The sequence below is a fragment of the Homo sapiens genome, chromosome 5 (assembly GCF_000001405.40).
Source record: "Homo sapiens chromosome 5, GRCh38.p14 Primary Assembly".
NCBI classification, from domain to species: Eukaryota; Metazoa; Chordata; class Mammalia; order Primates; family Hominidae; genus Homo; species Homo sapiens.
In genome coordinates, this window is record NC_000005.10 from 32,519,429 (window position 1) to 32,534,781 (window position 15,353).

Sequence of the window (15,353 nt, forward strand, 5' to 3'; positions counted from 1 at the left end):
CTTATACACTGTTGCTGGGAATGTAAATTAGTTCAGTCCCCATGGAAAAGGGTTTGGAGATTTCTCAACTTAAAACAGGACTACCATTCAACTTGGCAATCCTATTACTGGGTATATACCCAAAGGAAAGTAAGTCATTCTACCAAAAAGGCATGTGCACTCATAAGTTTATCACAGCACTTTCACCATAGCAAAGACAAGGAATCGACCTAGGTGCCAATGAATGGTGGACTAGATAAAGAAAATGTGGTACATATACACCACGGAATACTACACAGCCATAAAAAAGAATGAAATCACATCCTTTGCAGTAACATGGATGCAGGTGGAGGCCATTATCTTAAGTGAATTAATGCAGGAACAGAAAACCAAACACCACATGTTCTAACTTATAAGTGGGCGCTAAATATTGAGCACACAAATACATAAGAAGGGAACAATGACACTGGGGACAGAGTGAGATCTTGTCTCAAAATTAATTTATTTTTATTTTTTTTTTGAGACAAGATTTCACTCTGTCACCCAGGTTGGAGTACAGTGGCACAATCACAGCTCAATGCAGCCTCAATTTCCAGGGCGCAAGTGATCCTCCCAACTCAGCCTCCTGAGTAGCTGGGATTACAGGCATGTGCCACCACACCTGGCTAAATAAAAAAAAAAAAATTTTTTTTTTGCAGAGTTGGAGTCTCACTAAGTTGCCCTGGCTGTTCTCAAATTCTTGGACAAAAGCGATCCTCCTTCCCTGGCCTCCCAAATTGCTGGGATCATAGGCATGAGCTGCCTTGACCACTGACACTGGAGGCTACTAGAAAAGGGAGGATGGAAGAAGGGCGAGGGTTGAAAAACTGCCTATGCTCACTACCTGGGTGATGGAATCATTTGTACACCAAACCTCAGTGACACACAATTTACCCATGTAACAAACCTGGACGTGTACCCCCTGATCAAAAATAGAAGTTGAAAAAAAATGGGCAAAGGATTTGAATAGACTTTCTCTAAAGAAGATACACAAGCGACTAATAAGTACATGAACAGCTGCTCAACATCATCCGGTAGTTTAGGAAAATGGAAATCAAAGCCTCAGTGAAATACTGTTTCATGCTTGCTAGATGGGTAAAATAACAAAGAGACAAAATAGGAAGCACTGGCCAGGATATGGAGAAATCAGAAACCCTCATACATTGCTGATGGGATTGTAAAACGGTGCAGCCACTTTGGAAAACAGTTTGGCAGTTCCTCAAAAATTTAAACATAGAGTCACCTTATGACCAGGCAATTGTGCTCCTATGTATATGCCCAAGAGAAATGAAAACATATGTCCATACGAAAACTTGCACATGAATGCTTATAGAAGCATTATTCATAATAGCCAACAAATGGAAACAACCCAAATGTCCATCAATAAACAAACATAAATAAACAAAATGTGGTATCTCCAAACAATGGAATATTTTCAGTCATAAAAAGGAATGATATACTGATTCATGCTACAGTGTGGATGAACCTTGAAAACATAATGCTAAGTTAAAGAAGGCAGACACAAAAGACCACATCTTGTACAGTTGCACTTATGTGAAATGTCCAGAATAAGAAAATTCATAGCAACAGGAAGTAGATTGGGGGTTTCCAGAGGTTAGAAGAAGGAGGGAATGCAGAATGATTGCTAATGGGTCAGGGGTTTCTTTTTGGAGTGATGAAAATATTTGAAATTAGAGAGAGGGGATGGTTACGCAACCTTGTGAATATGTTAACACCCATGGAATGTGCTTCAGTGGCGAATTTTATGATACGTGCATTAAATGTCAATAAAGTTGTCATTGAAAAAAAAAAGGTTGCGAGGCTGCCTTAGAAGCAGCTGCACTCCCCAAGCAGTGGGTCTAAGGTGCTTATTTTCTGGGACCAGAGGTGAAAACTGATGTATGAATTCTGACCTGGCATCATTTAAAAAGAGATTTTGCCTGGCACTGTGGGGTGTGACTATAGTCCTGGCTACTTGGGAGGCTGAGGCGGGAGGATTACTTGAGCCCAGGAGTTGGAGGCTGCAGCGAGCTATGATCACACCTATGAATAGCCACTGCACTCCAACTTAGGCAACATAGCAAGACCCTGTCTTTAAAAAAGAGAAAAAGAGATCTTGCCCAAGAGGACTGCCTGAGAGTACGATGGGACACAACAGAGAGACAGTCCGTGTGGAGACGGCCACCCCATGCTAAGGTTGCCAAGGGTGATGAATGACAAACCAAAGCAGAGGCCATTCCCCAACTCCAAGTGAAGAGGAGCAGTCAGACAGCTTCCTGGCCAGCCCATCGGAGTAACCAGGAGAGAAGCATCAGCTCAAATCATTTAACATGTTCAGAGAAACTCCAAGCCTGGAGGGTCAGAAGTCCCAGAAAGTGCGGGCTGTGGAGGAGAGGCTCCCAGAGGAAAAAGAGAAGCAGACAATCACCCTCTCCTTGACTGCATGCTTCTGCCTTGAGCAGGCCACGCTGAGGCAAGTTGACATAAAGTCAAGAGTTCCGATGATTATACTGCATGAGACATATTAATTTATAACATTAGTTTTTCTTGTGGCTGAAAGCAATCAGAATATTTTCTTTCTTATCTTTTTTTTTTGAGATGGAGTTTTGCTCTTGTTGCCCAGGCTGGAGTGCAATGGCGCGATCTCGGCTCACTGCAACCTCCACCTCCCAGGCTCAGATGATTTTCCTGCCCCAGCCTCCCGACTAGCTGGGATTACAGGTACGAGCCACCATGCCTGGCTAATTTTTGTATTTTTAGTAGAGACGGGGTTTCACCATCTTGGCCAGGCTGGTCCTGAACTCCTGGCCTTAAGTGATCTGCCTGCCCTGACCTCCCAAAGTGCTGGGATTATAGGAGTGAGCCACCACGCCTGGCCGCGATCGGAATATTTTTTAACTCTTAGAATTAATGAAAAACTATGGGGTTTGCCCAGGTTTCATACATACATGGGTAAGAACTAGCACCACAGAACATCCATCCGGTGCCTACTCCTCAACACAGATGTAATCTGAATAAATCACTGCAGAGAGCGGTAAGTCCTATGATGAAACAATAGTTCAGATGAGAGATGAAGATGTGAAATCAAGTATATGAGGAAAAGGGGAAAACTTAGGTTTAAAAATCGACGAATTTGGCCAGGCATAGTGGCTCATGGGAGCCTGAGGCGGGAGGATTGCTTAAGCTTAGGAGTTTGAGGCCAGCCTGGGCACAGGGCAAAACCCCGTCTCTACAAAAAATACAAAAAATAGCCAGTTGTGGGAGAGTTAGCGGCCTCCGGTGTGGGAAGGCCACGGAGCCGGGCCGGAGACATGGCCCGGGGGCCCGGCCAGCTAGGCAGGCCTCGCCCCGATACGGTCGCCATGCCCAAGAGAGGAAAGCGACTCAAGTTCTGGGCCCACGACGCCTGCTCTGGACAAGTGACTGAGGTGGATTACGCCAACTCGGATCCAGCGGTCGTGAGGTCTGGATGAGTCAAGAAAGCCTTAGCCAACGCTGTTCAGCAGGAAGTAAAATCTCTTTGTGGCTTGGAAGCCTCTCAGGTTCCTGCAGAGGAAGCTCTTTCTGGGGCTGGTGAGCCCTGTGACATCATCGACAGCGGTGATGAGACGATGCCCAGGAGGAAAGCATCTGTGAGAGAACTGTCTCCAGAAAAAAGAAAAGCAAGAGGCACAAAGAAGAACTGGACGGGGCTGGAGGAGAAGAGTATCCCATGGATATTTGGCTATTGCTGGCCTCCTATATCTGTCCTGAGGACATTGTGAATTTTTCCCTGATTTGTAAGAATGCTCGGACTGTCACTTGCACTGCTGCCTTTTGGACAAGGTTGTACCGAAGGCACTACACGCTGGATGCTTCCCTGCCTTTGCGTCTGCGACCAGAGTCAATGGAGAAGCTGCGCTGTCTCCGGGCTTGTGTGATCCGATCTCTGTACCATATATGTATGAGCCATTTGCTGCTCCAATCTCCAAGAATCCAAGCACCCCCAGCACATTAAAGAATTCCAAATGCTTACTTTTCTGGTGCAGAAATATTGTTGGGAACAGACAGGAACCAATGTGGAAATTCAACTTCAAGTTAAAAAAACAGGTTAAAGAGCAAGTGTACAGGAGGATTGCAGCCCCCTGTTCAGTACGAAGATGTTCATACCAATCCACACCGGGACTGCTGCCTACTGCAGGCCACCACCCTCAATTTCATCTTCATTCCGATTGTCATGAGAATGATATTTACTCTCTTTACTATCAATGTGAGCAAGGACATACGGCATCATTGAGTGAGACTGGTGTTTCAAGATTCCCCTGTCCATGGTGGTCGGAAACTGTGCAGTGAACAGGGTGTGCAAGTCATCCTGGACCCAGTGCACAGCTTTCGGCTCTTTGACTGATGGCACCCTCAGTACCCATTCTCCCTGAGAGCGTAGTTACTGCTTCCCATCCCTTGGGGGCAGCCCCGATTCTAGTCCATTAGTAATCAGATTCCAGTTTGGACAGGGCGGCTGGATTATATATCTGGTTAGTAATGTACATGCTCTTCAGGTTCTAGGGCTCCTGTTAGGGGAGGGAGAAATGTTGAATCAAGAGGGAAAACAACTACTATGATTTATAAACATATTTTAATGTAAAAATTTGCATTAAAAAAATAGCCAGTTGTGGTGTCGTGTGCCTGTAGTCCCAGCTATTTGGGAGGCTGAGGTGGGAGGATTGTTTGAGTCTGGGAGGACCAGGCTGCAGTGAGCCGAGATCGCCCCAGTGTACTCTGGCCTAGGCAGCAGAGTGAGATCCTGTCTCAAAGAAAGAAAGAAAAAAATGGACAAATTTGAGCAGCAGATTAGATGTGGGAAGTAACAAAGAAGGAGACATCAGAGATGACTTTAAGTGTCTAATTTGGGAGATCAGGTGACTGATTGTCATTAACAGCTGAAGGAAGGAGGGAGGAGCAGATATTGGTGGAGGAAAGGAAGATACAAAGTTTTTTTTTTTTTTTTTTTTGAGACGGAGTCTCGCTCTGTTGCCCAGACTGGAATGCAGTGGTGCGATCTAAGCTCACTGCAAGCTCCGCCTCCCGGGTTCACAACATTCTCCTGCCTCAGCCTCCTGAGTAGCTGGGACTACAGGCACCCGCCACCACGCCTGGCTAATTTTTTGTACTTTTAGTAGAGACGGGGTTTCACTGTGTCAGCCAGGATGGTCTCCATCTCCTGAACTTGTGATCCGCCTGCCTCGGCCTCCTAAAGTGCTGGGATTACAGGCATGAGCCACTGCGCCTGGCCCCTCAAAGTTTTGTTTTGGACATGCTGAGTTTGAGGTGCATGTGTCACAGAAGGGTCAGAAGCCAGGAAACAGTTGGAAGTGCAGCCTAGAGCTCAGGTGACAATTCGGGTGGAATAGCTTTTTAAATTTTCAGGACATTGGCCAGGTGTGGTGGCTCACGCCTGTAATCTCAGCACTTTGGGAGGCTGAGGCAAGCGGATCACCTGAGGTCAGGAGTTTGAAACCAGCCTGGCCAACATGACGAAACCCCGACTCTCCTAAATATACAAAAATTAGCCGGGTGCGGTGGCGGTCACCTGCAATCCCAGCTACTCAGGAGGCTGAGGCAGGTGAATTGCTTCAACCTGGGAGACGGAAGTTGCAGTGAGCCGAGATTGAGCCACTGCACTCCAGCCTGGGCAACAGAACAAGACTCCATCTCAAGAAAATAAATAAATAAACAAACAAATAAATAAATTTTCAGGACATGGATAGCAAGGGAAGCACAAAGCTAGATAAAATCACATAGGGAGAAAGAGCATAGGGTGAGAAAAGGGCTTGAGAATGAATCAACATTTAATGGTTAGTGGAAGGTGCCAAGGCAACTATAAAGGAGAAGGTAGAAAGATCTAGAGAAAAAGAGAACATGTAATCACACAATCAATACAAGAAATGAGTGAGGATGTCTGAGCCACACAACCACTCCTTTCAGTAGTACAAACAAAATAAATATTGGTGATGGCGGATCCAATAGTAATAAGGTGCTGTTTTTCATAACATGTTAGCTAACACTCTTGACCAACTGATAAGGAATGTTGCCTGAGCAAATGGTGAACTTGCAGCTTACCTTTGCCTGGTGATTCCTTGAAATGTGTGACTTGAACTTGCAAGGTAATTGGATCGGGTTCGGCTTTGGACCATCGTTCGGAATGAAGTGAACTGTTGACTTCTGGATCATTTATAAGATCCCAAATACCTTAACATGGTGCAGAAGGCCCTTCCTGCTGTGGCCCCTGACTCTTTTCTAATCTTATCTCTCACTGTTTCCCTTGCTCATCCTACCCTTCAAGCAATCCAATTACTTGAATATGCCAAGTGCTCCCTCACGCCTGCATGGCTTTCACTATGCTGTTTCTTCAGCTTGGAATACCAGTCTCTGGTCTAAAACCCTTTGCCAACTTCCCCTAGTCTTGGAATCATTTCAAATCTAATTGTGCGCAACACTATCTTTACCTACTGATGAAGGGAAACAACCTCACAATAGAGCTTCACACTACTTAAACTCCCCGTGAGAGAAAGAGTTAAAATCTTAGCGAAACCCCAGCTTTTTACAATTTTGCTGGACACTGTGTCCTATTTGATATGCATGCTATCAGCCCATTTGACCAAAGCCAGATTTTTTTTTTTTGAGATGGAGTCTGGCTCTGTCACCCAGGCTGGAGTGCAATGGCATGATCTCAGCTCACTGCAACCTCTACCTCCCGGGTTCAAGTGATTCTCGTGCCTCAGCCTCCTGAGTAGTTGGGATTACAGGTGCGCGCCACCACTCCCATCTGATTTTTTTGTATTTTTAGTAAAGACGGGGTTTTGCCATGTTGCCCTGGCTGGTCTCGAACTCCTGACCTCAGGTGATCCACCCACCTTGGCCTCCCAAAGTGCTGGGATTACAAGCGTGAGTCACCATGCCCCACCTGAAGCCAGACTTTTGAACTTACTCACTTCTAATCGTGTTTCTCCCTATTTGTGAAATAACATGAAATCCTTCTCCACGCCGGGCGCGGTGGCTCACGCCTGTAATCCCTGCATTTTGGGAGGCCAAGGCGGGCGGATCACGAGGTCAGGAGATCGAGACCATCCTGTCTAACACGGTGAAACCCCGTCTCTACTAAAAATATAAAAAATTAGCCGGGCGTGGTGGTGGGCGCCTGTAGTCCCAGCTACTAGGAGGCTGAGGCAGGAGAATGGCGTGAACCCGGGAGGCAGAGCTTGCAGTGAGCTGAGATCATGCCATTGCACTCCAGCCTGGGCAATAGAGGGAGACTCTGTCAAAAAAAAAAAAAAAAAGAAATCCTTCTTCCCTACCTCAGTTTCATGAAAACCTTCCCCTTCTTCACCTGTATATCACAAAATCCCTCCTCCCCTGAGTGTCACAAGACAGTTCTCAGCCAGGATTTTTTTTTTTTTGGTCAGCCAGGATTGAAAAAAAAAAAAAAAAGAAGTAAAAGAATGCTTGTCACATGACCTCTGTTGTTTCTTCCTTAAAATTCATAACCTCAGTCTAATCATGAGAAAACATCAGAAAAATCCAAATTGAGAAATAGTCTACAAAATACCTGGCACTCTTCAAGAGTGCCAAGGTCGAGAAAAACAAGGAAAGACTGTGAAACTGTCACAGATTAAAGGGGACTAAAGAGATATGACAAATGATGCAATGTGGTATCCTGGAACAGAGAAAAGAATATAGTGGAAAAACTGGAGAAATTGGAAGAATCTGAGTTTAGTGGAATAGTTAATAGTATTGTACCAGGATCAATCTTTTATTTTTGAGAAACGTACTGTACCATGGTATGTAAGATGTTAACATTAAGAAAGCTAAAAGAAAGCCGATAATCTGACGTATTAAAATAACTAAGGTGTGGCTGGGCATGGTGGTTCACGCCTATAATCCTAGCACTTTGGGAGGCCAAGGTGGGCAGATTGCTTGAGCCTAGGAGTTCAAGACCAGCTTAGGTAAAATGGTGAAATCCCCACTCTACAAAAAATACAAAAATTTAGCCAGGCTGGGTGGTGTGTGTCTGTAGTCCCAGCTACCCAGGAGGCTGAGGTGGGAGGACCACCTGAGTCCAGGAGGTCAAGGATGCAGTGAGCCATGTTTGAGCCACTGTACTCCAGCCTGGGTGACAGAGTGAGACCCTGTCTCAAAAATAAAATAATATAATATAATAAAATAATTAAGACGTGAAGGTCACCCGGCTTTTAGGTGGTGATCAGCCCCCTTCTTTCTTCCTTAGTTCTTGGTAATGACAAGTCCTGACATTAAAAATCTAATTTCCACACTACCTCTTTGACTATATCTCAGGCCATCTTGCCTTTCATGGATCCCACCCTCATCATCTGGCCTTCTAGTTCCCAGGACAATCTGAAGCTGGCTCCACTGCAGGGTCCTTGTGCTTGCTGTTTCCCTCTTCTTGGAACCTTTCCCCGCTCCCTCTTTGTAGAGCTGGCTTCTGTCTTTCAAGTCTCAGCTTCATGTCACCTTCTCAGAGAGGCCTGCTGTGACTACCTACCCCAATAATCTCTGTCACAGCACTTTTTGTATTTTTCTTCATTTCGCTAAGCATAGTCTACAATTTATTGATGTATTTGCAATCTTTCTCCCTTCAGAATGTTTGCTGTATGAGGGCAGAGACCAGGTCTATCTTGTTCTCTGTAATATCTACTGTCTCCGTGTTTTCCCATTTTTTTTTTTTGAGACAGGGTGACAAACTGAGACCATTTGCAGTAGTGTGAACATGGCTCACTGCAGTCTCGACCTCTGGGGCTCAAGTGATCCTCCCTGCCTCAGCCCTCCAAGTAGCTGGGACTACAGATGGGTGCCAACATCAAGTAGCTGGGACTACAGATGGGCGCCACCATGCTAGGCTATTTTTTTGTGTATATGTGTGTGTATATATATAGAATATATATTCTATATATTCTGTATATAGATATAAATATATATTATATATATAAATCTATGTTTTATATATATATGTGTATATATATATATATATTTTTTTTTTTTTGTAGAGATGAAGTTTTGCCATTGTTGCCCAGGCTTCCCTCAACATTTATATGTTGAACTCCTAACCCCTAGTGTGATGATATTAGGAGATGTGGGTCTTTGGGAATTGATTAGATCTTGAGGGTAGTACATTCATAAATAGAATTAGTGCCCTTATAAAAGAAGCTCCAGAGAACTCCCTTGCCCCTTTTGCCTTGTGAGGCCTTCTGTGAAACAGTAAGTAGGCTCTCACCAGATACCAAACATGCCAGTGTTGTAATCTTGAACTTCCCAACCACCAGAACTGTTAGAAATAAATTTCTATTGTTTATAAACTACCCAGTCTATGGTATTCTTGTTCTAGCAGCCTAAACAGACGAAGATGCCTATAATAGTTGTTCAATAGGCCGGGCGCGGTGGCTCACGCCTGTAATCCCAGCACTTTGGGAGGCTGAGGCAGGTGGATCATTTGAGGTCAGGAGTTCGTGACCAGCCTGGCCAACATGGTGAAACCCCATCTCTACTAAAAATACAAAAATTAGCTGGGCGTGGTGGTGGGTACCTGTAATCCCAGCTACTCAGGACGCTGAGGCAGGAGAATTGCTTGAACCGGGACCTGGGAGGTGGAGGTTGCAGTGAGCTGAGATCGTACCACTGCACTCCAGCCTGGGCGACAGGACTAGACTCCATCTCAAAAAAAAAAAAAAAAAGTTGTTCAATAAATATTTGTTAAATGAGTGCCAAAGGATAATTTTCTTTTTTTTCTTTCCTTTTTTTTTTTTAGGCTAAGTCTCCCTCTAAGAGTAAAAAACATGCTGCCATCAAATATATAGTGAGCATGTGTCAAATATCAATCTAACTCATTTAATGAAGAGACCAGAAAGATAATAAATCTGGTTGAAGGAGAATTCAAGGAACAGAGGTTTGTATAGCAGAAAAGACATGCTGAAATAAGTTAGCTAGGTTAAAGGGAAATCTAGTTTATGTCCTACAGGTTAATAAACTATAATCTTTAGGATTGTCTTTTCTGTAGAATAGGAATCATTTGGGTCTCTAACAGACAAAAACCTACAAGTTAACACGTAACTTCATAGAATCTGGACCCTAATGATAATAATTAACAAGTCAAACAAAGGTACATTCTCCAGATGAATAACACTTGGGTGGACCTGTTCGGACAATGCTCCAGCATGACAGTGAAAGGACATACAATTATCTTTTTGCCTTAATTCTAAGATTAGGACATTAAAAAAAATAGAAGACTAAAAAATATAGAATGAATGTACAAGTGCTCCAACTGAAGTTTGGAAAGGGGAGGTCAGTCTGTTGGGGGGCAAGGCACAGGGGCATCTGCTTCATCAGGTCTTCCCCCAAAGCCATCATCACTGGATCCAGCATTCATTCTTTGAGAGCCAGCCAATGTTTCATTTTCTCTGTGAAGTCTGTCTAGATTTTCCTCTCACTCCCTATCAGGCAAACTGAGGTGGACAAACCTTGTTTTCAAGATGGTGATTGTGGCCTGGCACAGTCGCTCAAGCCTGTAATCCCAGCACTTTGGGAAGCTGAGGTGGGAGGATCGCTTGAGCCCAGGACTTCAAGACCACCCTGGGCAACACAGTGAGATCCTGTCTCTGCAAAAAATACAAAAAGTCTGGGCCGGGCACAATGGCTTATGCTTGTAATCCCAGCACTTTGGGAGGCTGAGGTCAGGAGTTCAAGACCAGCCTGGCCAAATGGCGAACCCCCCACCCCCACCCCTCCGTCTCTACTAAAAAACCAAAAATCAGCCAGGCTTGGTGGTGCACACCTGTAGTCCCAGCTACTAGGGAGGCTGAAGCACAAGAATCACTTGAACCCAGGAGGTAGAGGTTGCAATGAGCCAAGATTGCGCCACTGCACTCCAGCCTGGGCAATAGAGCAAGACTCTGTCTCAAAACAACAACAAAAACAACAACAACCAAAATTCACCATGCATGGTTGGCATGCGCCTGTGGTCCCAGCTACTTGGGAGGCTGAGGTGGGAGGATGGCTTGAGTCCAGGAGGCTGAGGCTGCAGTGAGCCGAGATCGCACCACTGGACTGCAGCCTAGGTGGCAGAGCGAGACCCTATCTCAAAAATAAAAAAGATGATGATTGCTGTCAAGTCCCTAGATTTTTTTCCTGTGACTTGCTTATCCCTGGTTTGAGCCAAGACACTCTATTACCCTTGTTCCCCTTACTTCCCAGACCCTATTTTTGTCTGTGGATTATACATGAGAGCCCATGTGAGGATTCCCACAAATAATTGAGATGGGGTGTGAAGGAGAATTTGAAAGTGAGAGCCCAGTTTTTTTCTTTTTTTCTTTTTTTTTGAGATGGAGTCTCGCTCTGTTGCCCAGGCTGGAGTGCAGTGGAGCGATGTCGCCTCACTGCAACCTCCGCCTCCTGGGTTCAAGCGATTCTTCCGCCTCAGCCTCCTGAGTAGCTGGGACTACAGGCACACACCACCGCGCCTGGCTAATTTTTGTATTTTTAGTAGAGACGGGGTTTCACCATATTGGCCAGGCTGGTCTCGAACTCCTGACCTCGTGATCTGCCCGCCTCAGGCTCCCAAAGTCCTGGGATTACAGGCATGAGCCACCACGCCCAGCAAGAGCCCAGTTTTTACAAACAACAGATGAGTGCTAGGGGGCAGGACAACGCAAGTATGAAATGAGACCAGCTAATGAGACCAGCTGCACGCTGGTTATACAAGTATCAGAGCTGCTTTGTCCCTTGGTCCCATGAGATACTACTCTATAAAACATGCCCAAAAGCCAGCCTCACATGTCTTTTTCTAGTTTATTTATTTATTTTTGAGACAAGGTGTCGCTCTGTTGTCCAGCCATTGTATTCCGACTCACGGCAGCCTCGACCTCCTGGGCTCAAGTGATGTAGTTGGGACTACAGGCACACACTACCACACCTGGCTAATTTTTGTATTTTTAGTAGAGACGAGTCTCACTATGTTGCCAAGGCTGGTCTTGAACTGCTGAACCCAAGTGACCCTCCCACCTCTGCATCCCAAAGTGTCTAGTTTCAGAACTTACTTTATTCAGAGGTGTAGCTATCTTTGGGACCAAAACTGTGAGCACTGAACCAGCGACTGGCTTGAGAAGAAAGCATTTCCAAGGCAAATAATAATCCAAGCTGAAAACAGTCCTCTTAGTGCACCAGAAGGGACCTTTTGGCAAGTGGCATCTTGCCAGAAAATTAACTCAAAACAAATCCCTAACAGCTCAGAGATGGTGGAGGGGAATTTCAGAAACAGTCAGCAGGGCAGGGCCATGCAACTGCTTACAGGAATTGCCTCACTCACACTTTGATGTTGATTCTCTGCAGAGCTTCCGCTGCTTCAAAACGGCGTGCAGGAGTCAGAGACATTACATCAGGAAGATACTGCAGAGATATTCTACTCCATCTCATTCATTGTACAGGTGAGGAATCCAAGGGTCAGAGATTTTAAGGAATTTGTCCAAAATCACAGAGTGGAGAACTGTGAGTAGAACTCAGATCGCTTGTTGCCTAATTCAGGTGTTTTCAACCCCTTATAAATAAGCCAGGGAGGTGTGGCACCCACATGATTTGCTTTCTGGCTGATGTATCTCTATTCCTAACGCAGAGCTCAGGCATCAATCGGTAAACATGAGGAAGAGATAGATGCGGCTCTATCTATCTAGTGTATGGGAGCAGCATGTGACATTGTGATGAGATGTGTCAGCACAGGCACAATTTAAAGCAGTGCCATGGCAACCGGCATTCACTCTGGCTCCAGATAGCACCGTGAACTACAGGGTGTAGTTGAAAATGGCTTCTCACCTAGGGAGTGGAATGTTCCAGCCTCTGTTTCCTGCAGTGAGTGACTCTAAAATCTACCAAGCAATGTAGCAACGAGACTGGTTCAGATTATTTACCAAGGGTTGGGGGTTTTCAGCGTAACTCACAGGAGAAATAAACTTGGCAGCCTTGGGAATCCCCAAGAATTACTGTGACTATCTGCAGAGCAGTAGGGTTTTGCTTTCTCTTAGAGCAATGCATTCTTTCAGTGTCTTCCCGGAGAACTAATACTTCAAAGAGGTGCCCTGGGCACGAGGGGAAGGTAATGGAGAAGGGCACCACCATTTGTTTCTTATATATTGCAGAATCTGCTGCTACCCTCCCCACAAATTCTTTTTTTTTTTTTTTTTGAGACAGGGTCTCATTCTGTCACCCAGGCTGGAGTACAGTGGCACGATCATGACTCACTGCAGCCTCGACATCCTGGGTTCAAGTGATGCTCCCATCTCAGCCTCTCGAGTAGCTGGGACTACAGGTGTGTGCCACCACACCCAGCTAGTTTTTGTATTTTTAGTAGGGATATTGCCCAGGCTGTTGGCCAGGCTGGTCTTGAACTCCTGGGCTCAAGCAATCCACTCGCCTCAGCCTCCCAAAGTGCTGGGATTACAGCCTTGAACCACCACACTCGGCCCCCACAAATTCTTAAACCATGGCCGTAGACCAGAGGAGATCTGGAATGAGTTAAGTTTCATCAGTAGGGTTGAGTATTAGGGTCATTTGTCCTGAGATGCTAAAGCCTCCTTGATTTTAACTTAAATGCTCATATCATCGTTCCTGAAACAGAACTGAAACAGAGACCACCTATGGTCTCCAGTATGTACATGCTCTTTTATTTTTATTTTTGTGTTTCTAATTGTGCACGTTTGACTAAAGACTTCCAGCTTCCCTGACAAGTAGGTGTAGCCAGATGACCAAGTTCTGACCGTTGCACTATGAATGGAAGTGGTGCAGCTTTCTGGGGTGTGCCCTGTCTTTGGGCCTCCCCCTCTTTTCTTGGTTGGCTTGCAGTTGTATTGGTGGCAAGTCATCTTGGACCATGAGGATGAGGACAACCCCCCAGGAATGGCAGAGCAATAAGATATACTCATATAAAAATATTGCTACTTATTTTATCACTACTAAAAAAAAGAAAGTGAGAGGTATCCAATATGCTAAATAAAGAAGACTACTTCTGAGTAAAATTCTCAAAGCAGACCTGCACTACCAGTCCTCCTTTAAAAAAAAAGGTTGGGGGGCTGGGCGTGGTGGTTCACACCTGTAATCCCAGCACTTTGGGAGGCCGAGGCAGGAAGATCACCTGAGGTCAGGAGTTCAAGACCAGCCTGGCCAACATGGTGAAACCCCGTCTCTACAAAAATTAGCCAGGCATGATGGTGGGTGCCTGTAATTCCAGCTACTTGGGAGGCTGAGGCAGGAGAATCGCTTGAACCGGAGAGGCAGACGTTGTAGTGAGCCGAGATCGCACCTTTGCACTCTAGCCTGGGTGACAAGAATGAGACTCCGTCTCAAAAAAAAAAAAAAAATTCTTCCTATGTTAGCAGCTGAACCAATATCCTAACTAATAATAGCTCCACTAAAACTGCCGCCAGTCATGTTAAAAGTATGATTTAGGATGCATGGGACTACAAGTAACAAACAACAAGCCTTGCTAAAAGTAGCTTATAAAATTCGGAGTTTAAAAAATGATGCCATTTTACAAGAAATCAAGAGGAAACGTGTTCCCTGGGTTGGTTCAGTTTTAGGTTGTTGTATTAATTTCCTACTGCTACTATGATAAATTACCAGAAACTTGGCTTAAAACAACACAACTTTATTCTTTTATAGTTCTGGAGGCTGGAGTCTAAAATCAGTTTCACTGGACTAAAGTCAGTTGGCAGGGCTGTTTTTTTTTCTGGGAGCTCTAGGGAAGTTCTGTTTTCTTGCATTTTTTAGTTTCTGGAGGCTGTCTGCATTCCTTGGCTCGTGACTCCTTCCTCAAATCACTCCAACCTCTGGCTTCCATCATCTCCTCCCCTATTTCTGTTGTCAAATCTCCCTTTGCTTCCCTCTCATGAGGACACTTGTGATTACATTTAGGGTCCACCCAGATAATTCAGGATAATCTCACCCCAAGATCCTTAACTTTATCAAATCTATAAGGTAAAATTGATGGGTTCCAGGGCTTAGCATATGGATATCAGCCTACCAAAGTTGAGAAAAGGTTTTCATTTTCCTGCTCTGCCGTTCTAATGTTTTGGTGCCATCTCCCTTCATGGTTTTAAAATCACTTTGGACCAAGGTGGGCAGATCACCTGATGTCAGAGGTTTGAGACCAGCTTGGCCAACATGGTGAAACCCTGCATCTACTAAAAATGCAAAAATTAGCTGGGCACTGTGGTGGCTGCCTGTAATCCCAGCTACTCGGGAGGCTGAGGCAGGAGAATTGCTTGAACCTGGGAGGTGGAGCTTGCAGTGAGCCGAGATCA

General features: G+C 45.1%; 1 long non-coding RNA gene and 1 pseudogene across 3 annotated transcripts in view, besides 2 other annotated features; both read left to right on the top strand.

Moving 5' to 3' along the window:
- LOC124900954 (uncharacterized) overlaps positions 1 to 15,353 on the top strand; it is a 65,808-nt gene that overhangs the window by 13,504 nt on the left and 36,951 nt on the right. For 2 of the 3 annotated variants that reach the window (XR_007058719.1, XR_007058720.1), the window contains 2 exons: positions 9,818 to 9,955; positions 12,394 to 12,488. This is a non-coding gene — a long non-coding RNA (uncharacterized LOC124900954). The remainder of the gene's footprint in view (positions 1 to 9,817; positions 9,956 to 12,393; positions 12,489 to 15,353) is intronic. The other variant, XR_007058721.1, reaches the window with a different exon arrangement.
- TMEM183AP2 (TMEM183A pseudogene 2) lies at positions 3,280 to 4,658 on the top strand (annotated as a pseudogene).
- Positions 12,229 to 12,338: an enhancer, noted in NCBI's record as "active region_22445". NCBI's record gives its function as "activates an Ori minimal core promoter by ATAC-STARR-seq in GM12878 lymphoblastoid cells {active_cell/tissue: GM12878}" and the evidence as "EXISTENCE:reporter gene assay evidence [ECO:0000049][PMID:35858748]".
- Positions 12,479 to 12,578: an enhancer, noted in NCBI's record as "active region_22446". NCBI's record gives its function as "activates an Ori minimal core promoter by ATAC-STARR-seq in GM12878 lymphoblastoid cells {active_cell/tissue: GM12878}" and the evidence as "EXISTENCE:reporter gene assay evidence [ECO:0000049][PMID:35858748]".